The 8,948-nt window shown below is 49.9% G+C and overlaps 4 annotated features.

The window, feature by feature from the left end:
- Nucleotides 6,247-6,860: an enhancer, noted in NCBI's record as "H3K27ac-H3K4me1 hESC enhancer chr7:76009533-76010146 (GRCh37/hg19 assembly coordinates)". NCBI's record gives its function as "activates a minimal SCP1, AML or CMV promoter by ChIP-STARR-seq in primed H9 embryonic stem cells {active_cell/tissue: H9 hESC(primed)}" and the evidence as "EXISTENCE:reporter gene assay evidence [ECO:0000049][PMID:30033119]".
- Nucleotides 6,247-7,474: a biological region, named in NCBI's record as "H3K27ac-H3K4me1 hESC enhancers GRCh37_chr7:76008919-76009532 and GRCh37_chr7:76009533-76010146".
- Nucleotides 6,654-7,133: a silencer, noted in NCBI's record as "silent region_18314". NCBI's record gives its function as "represses an Ori minimal core promoter by ATAC-STARR-seq in GM12878 lymphoblastoid cells {active_cell/tissue: GM12878}" and the evidence as "EXISTENCE:reporter gene assay evidence [ECO:0000049][PMID:35858748]".
- Nucleotides 6,861-7,474: an enhancer, noted in NCBI's record as "H3K27ac-H3K4me1 hESC enhancer chr7:76008919-76009532 (GRCh37/hg19 assembly coordinates)". NCBI's record gives its function as "activates a minimal SCP1, AML or CMV promoter by ChIP-STARR-seq in primed H9 embryonic stem cells {active_cell/tissue: H9 hESC(primed)}" and the evidence as "EXISTENCE:reporter gene assay evidence [ECO:0000049][PMID:30033119]".

Below are 8,948 nucleotides of genomic sequence, written 5' to 3'. Positions count from 1 at the left end.
ATCTGCAAAATCCCTTTAGCTTCGTAAAGGAACATATGCACAAACTCCAAGGATTAGGGTATAGGAATATTTAGGGGCCAGTATTCTGCCTCCAACAGGCTCCAAACTGGGGTTATGGCTCTCAGCCAGGGAGTGAGGTGGACACTTTGGCTCCAAACTCCATCGGCTCCGGGCAGTCATGACTTTGTCTCCATTTGTCAGGGAGTTCTCTGAGCTGTGTCATCGGAGGATGAGGCCTGGAGAAATGTTTTTTGTTTTGTTTTTTGTGAGACAGAGTCTCGCTCTGTCACCAGGCTGGAGTGCAGTGGCGCAATCTCAGCTCACTATAACCTCCGCCTCCTGGGTTCAAGTGATTCTCCTGCCTCAGCCTCCCGAGTAGCTGGGACTACAGACGCACACCATCACGCCCAGCTAGTTTTTGTATTTTTAGTAGAGACGGGGTTTCACCATGTTGGCCAGGATGATCTCGATTTCTTGACCTGGTGATCCGTCCGCCTTGGCCTCCCAAAGTGCTGGGATTACAGGCGTGAGCCACCGTGCCCGGCCGAGGCCTGGAGAAATGAAAGATGAAAATGCTAAGAATTCAAGGAGCTGGGGCAGAGGGACTGGAATGTTCTAGCTGCCTTATGGTCTCCAGCACATTCGGAAATTCTTTTTTTTTTTTTTTTTTTTTTTTGTTAAATTGAGATCAGGGTCTCACCATGTTGTCCAGGCTGGTCTCAAACTCCTGGGCTAAAGTGGATCCTCCTGCCTCTGCCTCCAAAAGTACTGGGTTGATGGCTGGGGACGGTGGCTCACGCCTGTAATCCCAGCACTTTGGGAGGCTGAAGCTGGCGGATCACTTGAGGTCAGGTGTTCGAGTCCAGCTTGGCCAACATGGTGAAACCCCGTCACTCCTAAAAATACAAAAATTAACCGGATGTGGTGGTGAGCGCCTGTAATCCCACCTACTCCGGAGGCTGAGGCAGGAGAATTGCTTGAATCCAGGAGGTGGAGGTTGCAGTGAGCCAAGATCACGCCACTGCACTCCAGCCTGGGCAACAGAGCAAGACTGTCTCAAAAAATAATAATAATAAACAAAATACTGGGATGATGGGCATGAGCCATTGTGCCCAGCCCACATTCAGGGATTCTGCTCTAGTCATAGCCATTCCAGCCACCACTCACTTCAGTGCTCTCTGTTGTCCAGAGAAACTTCACAGCTTCCCGTCCCCGGAATCTCTTTCCTATCTAAGCAAAGTACAATTATGTCTCAGCCTCCTCAGGGGGATTGATTCTAGGACCCTCTAAGGACTCCAAAATCCAGGATGTTCAAGTCCCTGACATAAACTTATGTAGAATTTGTATATAACCTATGTACATCCTCCCATATACTTTTTTTTTTTTTTGAGACAGAGTCTCACTCTGTTGCCCAGGCTGTAGTACAGCAGTGCGATCTCGACTCACTGCAATCTCCGACTGCCAGGTTCAAGCGATTCTCCTGCCTCAGCCTCCCAAGTAGCTCGGACTACAGGCATGCACCACCACGCCTGGCTAATTTTTTGTATTTTTAGTAGAGACAGGGTTTTGCCATGTTGGCCAGGCTGCTCTCGAACTCCTGGCCTCAAGTGATCCACCTGCCTTGGCCTCCCAAAGTGCTGGGATTACAGGCATCAGCCAAGCCACTGAACCCAGCCGTTTAAAAAAAAATACAGGCAGGGTCTTGCTATGTTGCCCAGGCTGGACTTGAACTCCAGGGCTCGAGCAATCCTCCTGCCTCAGCCTCCTGAGTAGCTGGGACCACAGATGAGCACCAGCACACCCAGCCAAGCCAACTGTTATTTAACTTAGAGTCTCAGCTTTCATTTTCTCCAGATGGTCTTCATGGACACTCCCTGTTGGTATGAACTGGGAGCTCTCATCCCACTCTGTACCTCCCCAGTGACCATGCTCGCCCTTGCACTTCATGAAACTGCTGCCTAGGCCGGGTGCAGTGGCTCACACCAGTAATCCCAGCACTTTGGGAGGCTGAGGTGGGCGGATCATCTGAGGATGGGACTTGGAGACCAGTCTGGCCAACATGGTGAAACTCTGTCTCTATGAAAAATACAAAAATTAGCCAGGCATGGCGGCAGGCACCTATAATCCCAGCTACTTGGGAGGCTGAGGCAAGAGAATTGCTTGAACCCGGGAGGCAGAGGTTGCAATGAGCTGAGATTGTGCCACTGCACTCCAGCCTAGGCAACAGAGTGAGACTCCATCTCAAAAAAAATAATAATAAACTAAAAAAAAAAAACAAAAACTACTGCCTTGACTGTATGCTATACTAGCCCAGTGGAATGCTGAGGGCTAGGGCTGTGTCTGTTGTGCCTAACTTTGTGCACATGTATCACACACAGTGGAGGCTGAAATAATATTTGCCAAGTGAGGCTGGGCACAGTGGCTCACACTTGTAATCCCAGCACTTTGGGAGGCCAAGGTGGGCAGATCACGAGGTCAGGAGTTCAAGACCAGCCTGGCTAACATGGTGAAACCCCGTCCCCACTAAAAATACAAAAATTAGCCGGGTGTGGTGGCACGCGCCTGTAATCCCAGCTACTCCAGAGGCTGAGGCAGGAGAATTGCTTGAACCTGGGAGGCAGAGGTTGCAGTGAGCCAAGATCACACCATTGCACTCCAGCTCTGGGCGACAGAGCAAGACTCCATCTCAGAAAAAAAAAAATTGCCAAGTGAATACAGCACATGCACAAATATTTCTGAAGCCCTGTGTACTAGGCCAAGTACCATGCTGGCCTCTGGAGCTCCAGAGCCAGAAGAGGCCTAGACCAGGTTCCTGTTTGCCCGACAGAGATGACCTTCAAGAGGAGAAGACAGCCAGACATGGTGGCTCATGTCTGTATTCCCAGCAGTTTGGGAGGCTGAGGCGGGTGAATGACCTGAGGTCAGGAGTTCGAGACCAGCCTGGCCAACATGGTGAAACCCCGTCTCTACTAAAAATACAAAAATTAGCCAGGTGTGGTGGCAGGTGCCTGTAGTCCCAGCTACTCAGGAGGCTGAGGCAGGAGACTTGCTTGAACCCAGGAGGTGGAGGTTGCAGGGAGCTAAGATCGCGCCACTGGACTCCAGCCTGGACAAAAGAACAAGACTCTGCCTCAAAAAAAAAAAAAAGAAGACAAATAATAAGACATTGACCAAATCAATTAACTAGATCATCTAACCTAGTGATTATTGCTAGAAAGAAAATGAAGGCCAGGCGCAGTAGCTCACCCCTGTAATCCCAGCACTTTGGGAAGCCAAGGCAGGCAGATCATTTGAACCCTGGAGTTGGAGACCGGCCTGGGCAACATAGCAAGACTCTCCTGTCTCTACAAACAATGAAAAAATTAGCTGGGTATGCTGGCTCGCACCTGTAGTCTCAGCTACTTGGGAGGCTGGAGTGGGAGGTTCACCTGAGCCCTGGGAGGTTGAGGCTGCAGAGAGCTATGATCATGCCACTGCACGCCAGCCTGGGCAACAAGAGTGATAGTCTGTCTCAAAAAAAAAAATTAATAAAAAAAAGAAAAGAAAAGAAAATGAAGCAGGGTCATAAGGTGGGGATTGGGTAGTCAGGAAAGGCCTCTAAGGAGGTGAGGTCTGAGCTGAGCCTGAGCAGGAAGAGGGAGATGGCCATGAACCTTTTGGCTATGAAACGGTTTGGGAAGTGCTATTCCAGGTCCTTCAACGGAAACTTAGCCTGGCCTGCAGAAGAACCACGGAGCGTTGTGATTGGAGCAAAGAAGAATGTGCTAACGAATCAGAGAAGCCGGTAGGGCCTAGGCCACTGAGGGCTTTTTAGGCCACAGGGAGGCGTTTTATTCTAAAGATGATGAGAATTCATTGGGAAGTAAGTGACAGAGGCATCCTGAGTGTCAGATTGGTTCTAGGACCCCACTCCCATACCAACATCCATAGATGCGCTAGTCCCTTATATAAAATGGCGTAGTATTTGCATATAACCTAACACACCATCCTCCTGCATACTTTAACATCTCTAGATTGCTTATAATACCTCATATGATGTAAATGCTAGGTAAACAATTATTATACTGTTTTGTTTTTGTTTGTTTTCTTGAGAGGGAGTCTTGCTCTGTCGCCCAGGCTGGAGTGCAGTAGCATGATCTCACCTCACTACAACCTCCGCCTCCTGGGTTCAAGGGATTCTTCTGCCTCAGCCTCCCGAGTAGGTGGGATTACAGGCCCACGCCACCATACCCGGCTAATTTTTTATATTTTTGGTAGAGAGGAGATTTCACCACGTTGGCCAGGCTGGTCTCCAACTCCTGACCTCAAGTGATCTGTCTGCCTCGACCTCCCAATATTTGTATACTTTTTATTATATTGTTATTTTTTATTGTTTTAAAAATATTTTCCATCCATAGGTGGTTGAATTCATGAATGTGGAACCCATGGATACAGAAAGCCAAATGCATATTCACAAGGGTGTTCAGCCATCACCGTCTAATTTTAGAACATTTTCTTTTCTTTTTTTTTGAGAGGGAGTTTCACTCTGTCACCCAAGTTGGAGTGCAGTGGAGTGATCTCGGCTCACTGCAACCTCCGCCTCCCAGGTTCAAGCGATTCTCCTGTTTCAGCCTCCCGAGTAGCTGAGATTACAGGCACTTGCCACCACGTCCAACTAGTTTCTGTATTTTTCGTAGAGATGGGGTTTCACCATGTTGGCCAGGCTGGTCTCGAACTCCTGACCTCAAGAGATCCTCTCACTTCGGCCTCCCAAGGTGCTGGGATTATAGGCATGAGCCACCGCACCTGGCCTACTTCACTTCTTTTTATGGTGGAAGAATATTCCATTGTATGGATTTACCACCTTTTGTTTACCCATTCATCTGCTGATGGACATTGGACCATTCGTACCTTTTGACTATTATGAATAATGCTGCTATGAACATTTGTATTCTAGCATCTATTTGATAATCTGTTTTCAGTTCTCTTGGGTATATACCTCAGAGTAATGCTGTTTAACATTTTGAGGAACTATTAGTTTTCCACAGTGGTTTCATCATTTCACATTCCTACCAGCAGTGCACCAGGGTTCCAGTTTCTCCACATCCTCACCAACATTTGTTATTTTCATTTTTTAAAAAAAATTATTGGCTGGGTCTGGTGGCTCACGCCTGTAATCGGAGCACTTTGGGAGGCCGAGGCGGGCGGATCACGAGCTCAGGAGTTCAAGGCCAGTCTGGCCAACATGGTGAAACCTTGTCTCTACCAAAGATAGAAAAATTAGCCGGGCATGGTGGCACGCGTCTGTAATCCCAGCTACTTGGAAGGCTGAGGCAGGAGGATCACTTGAACCTGGGAGGTGGAGGTTGCAGTGAGCCGAGATCGTGCTATTGCACTCCAGCCTGGGTGACAGGGTGACACTCCGTCTCAAAAAAAAAAAAAAAAAAATTCTTGCTATTCTAGTGGGTATGAAGTGGTATCTCCTGGTTTTAGTTAGCACTCACATCTTTTTTTTCTTTTGAGACAGAGTCCTGTTCCGTCACCCAGGCTGTAGGGCAATGGTGTGATCTCAGTTCACTGCAAACTCTACCATTCTGATTCCAGCGATTCTCCTGCCTCAGCCTCCTGAGTAGCTGGGACTACAGGCGGACGCCACCACCCCTGGCTAATTTTTATATTTTTAGTAGAGACAGTGTTTTGCCATGTTGGCCAGGCTGGTTTCAAACTCTTGACCTCAGGTGATCTGCCCACTTCAGCCTCCCAAAGTGCTGGAATTACAGGTGTGAGCCACTGCGCCCAGGCTTCAGTTGCATCTTAATGACTAATTATGTTGAGAATCTTTTCATCTGCTTATTGACCACTTATCTTCTTTGGATAAAGCGTCTATTCAGTCCTTTGCCCATTTTCCATTAGACTTTTGCTCATTTTTTGAAAACGCAGAACTGTCTAGCTATCCCGGTCTAGTGGCTATGAGACCTAGCCTTTGAAAATTGCCCTTTTTGTTTTCCTAGGTCTCTCCTGCCTGGCAGAGTGGCTCACACCTGTAATCCCAACTCTTTTTTTTTTTTGGAGACAGAGTCTTGCTCTATTGCCCACGCTGGAGTGCAGTGGCAGCGATCTCAGCTCACTGCAACCTCCGCCTCCCGGGTTCAAGCCATTCTCCTGCCTCAGCCTCAAGTAGCTGGAATTACAGGCATGTGCTATTTTAGTAGAGATAGGGTTTCTCCATGTTGGCAAGGCTGGTCTTGAATTCCTGACCTCACATGATCTGCCTGCCTCAGCCTCCCAAAGGGCTGGAATTACAGGCGTGAGCTACCTCATCCAACTAATCCCAACTCTTTGGGAGGCCGAGGAGGGAGGATGGCTTGAGGCCAGGAGTTTGAGACCACTTTGGACAACATAATGAGACCCCATCACTACGAAATAAAAAAAATAGCCAGGACGTGGTGGCACGTGCTTATAATCCAAAATACTGGGGCGGCTGAGACAGGAGGATCACTTGAGCCCAGGAGCTCTAGGCTGCAATGAGCGGATGCACGGGATCACACAGCTGAGATCTGCACCCTGAAGGGTGGAATTCCAAAGCTCCATGCTATTCCTGTAACTCTTACTGTCTTATCCCCAAATCTCCAAGTGTTTATTGTTGCCTCCTCTGTACAGAAGAGAAACTAAAGGCCAGGGAAGCCTCGGAGGTTTTTCTGGATCACATACAAAGACCAGGGACCAGGTCTTGGGACACCCACCCCAGCCCACAGATCTCCCCGCCCGATGGCATAGACACGGGGGACAGGGAAGGGCGCGGAGTGACTCGGCCTTTCCGGCCGGCCGGCCCAGTCTGGTCGCGCCTTCCTGCTGAGTCACGGCCTCCGCGGGGAGCCGCGCGGGGCGGGGCTGGGGAGACTACCGGGAGAGGGAATTCGCCCCGCGTGGGAACCGGAGCCGCGCCCCTGGCCCCACGGCAGCCTCCTGATTGGAGAGCCTGCGACTGGCACAGCCTGTCACAGCCAGTTGCAGAGTCCTGGTGAGGCGGGGCCGAGGGCGTAGGCCACACCCCCTCCTCCCCTGGAACCCGCCCATCGCGCCGCACTCCTCAGGGCTTCTGGGGACATCCCGGGCCCAGCCACTGGATGGGCGGGGCTGACTGGGCCCTGGGCACGGAGCCCTGCGGCCTACGCGGGGACAGGAAGGAAGGGACAGGAAGGGCCTCCACAAGCCTGGCGTGAAGGCGACCTTATTAGTCTATGCGGCCACTCGCAACTTACAAAGAGCGTTTTTCTCCCCCCAACCCCGCCCCCTCCCACCAAGGCTAGGCTGGGGTATTTACTCTTGTTTTCAGGGGTCTTTACCCTTGTAACCCAGAGAGGCCTGTTAAAATTGTAAAGCCTCGGCTAGGTGCAGTGGGTCACGCCTGTAACCCCAGCACTTTGGGAGACCGAGGCGGGAGGATCTCTTGAGCTCAGGAGTTCGAGACCAACCTGGGCAATATAGTGAGACCCCCCCCCCCCCCAACCCCTCGCCCAATCTCTACAAAAAAAAATTTTTTAATTACTCAAGTTGGTCGCACGTGCCTGTAGTCCCAGCCACTCTGGAGGCTGAGGTGGGAGGATCACTTAAGCCTTGGAGGTCAAGGCTATAGTGAGTTATGATGACAATACTGCACTTCAGCCTGGGTAACAGAGTGAGACCCTGTCTCAAAAAAAAAAAATAATAAAACCAATTTTTAATAAAACCAGGATTGGAAAGGGAGGGGCTCCTGTACACTCGCAGACTTGTGCACTAGAGTGAGGGCTTAACAGGATCAGCTGCCTAGAGGCACCCCAGCAAAGGCATGAGAGTGCAGGGTCTCCAGAGTGGGCCCTGGGGCTTTTTGATTTTTCGATTTCTTTTGATATGGAGTTCACTCTGTCACGCAGGCTGGAGTGTAGTGGTGCGATCTTGGCTCACTGCAATCTCTGCCTCCCGGGTTCAAGTGATTCTCTTGCCTCAGCCTTGCAAGTAGCTGGGATTACAAGCATGTACCACTACACCCAGCTAATTTTTTGTATTACTAGTAGAGGTGGGGTTTCACCATGTTGGCCAGGCTGGTCTCGAACTCCTGGCCTCAAGTGACCCTGCCCAGCTAGATTTGAATTCTTTTTGGTTTTTTTTTGAGACGAAGTCTTGCTCTGTCTCCCAGGCTGGAGTGCAATAGCGCGGTCTTGGCTCACTGCAACCTCTGCCTCTTGGGTTCAAGTGATTCTCCTGCCTCAGCCTCCCGAGTAGCTGGGACCACAGGCACGTGCCACCACACTTGGCTAATTTTTTGTATTTTTAGTGGAGACGGGGTTTCACCATGTTAGCCAGGATGGTCTCAATTTCCTAACCTCGTGATCTGCCCGCCTCAGCCTCCCAAAGTGCTGGGATTACAGGTGTGAGCCACTGCACCCAGCCAGATTTGAATTTTTAAAAGATCACCCTGGGTATCCCATGGAGAAGAGATAGTAGGGAAACAGGGAATCCAGAGATAGTAAGGAGTAGGGAATCCAGTTTGGAGACTGCTATGATAGTACAGGGAGAGAAGCTAGTTTGAACCCTGATGGGAGTGGTAGAGACAGTGAGAAGAGGATGAATTGTTGACCTGTCCAAAGTGGGCTGTCATGCCCAGGAGAATTAGAATACAGCTCCCTCCCTGAGGCCCCATTTCATTATTTGTTCATTTATCCCCTCATTTTTTCTTCTTTTTCTTTTCTTTTTTTTTTTTTTAGAGTCAGGGTCTTGCTCTGTCATCCAGGCTGGAGTGAAGTGGTGCAGTTATAGCTCACTGCAGCCTCCAACTCCTGGGCTCAGACAGTCCTCCTGCATCAGCCTCCTGAGCAGCTGGGACTACGGGCATGCATCACCATGCCCGGCTAATTATTTTCTCATTCATTCAACAAATATTTGAGCACCACTCTGGGTCAGAAATTATGTCCGGTCTGCCAGGGAGAGGG

This window comes from Homo sapiens, chromosome 7 (assembly GCF_000001405.40).
Source record: "Homo sapiens chromosome 7, GRCh38.p14 Primary Assembly".
Classification (NCBI taxonomy): Eukaryota; Metazoa; Chordata; class Mammalia; order Primates; family Hominidae; genus Homo; species Homo sapiens.
This window is presented reverse-complemented; position numbering and strand designations above follow the sequence as displayed.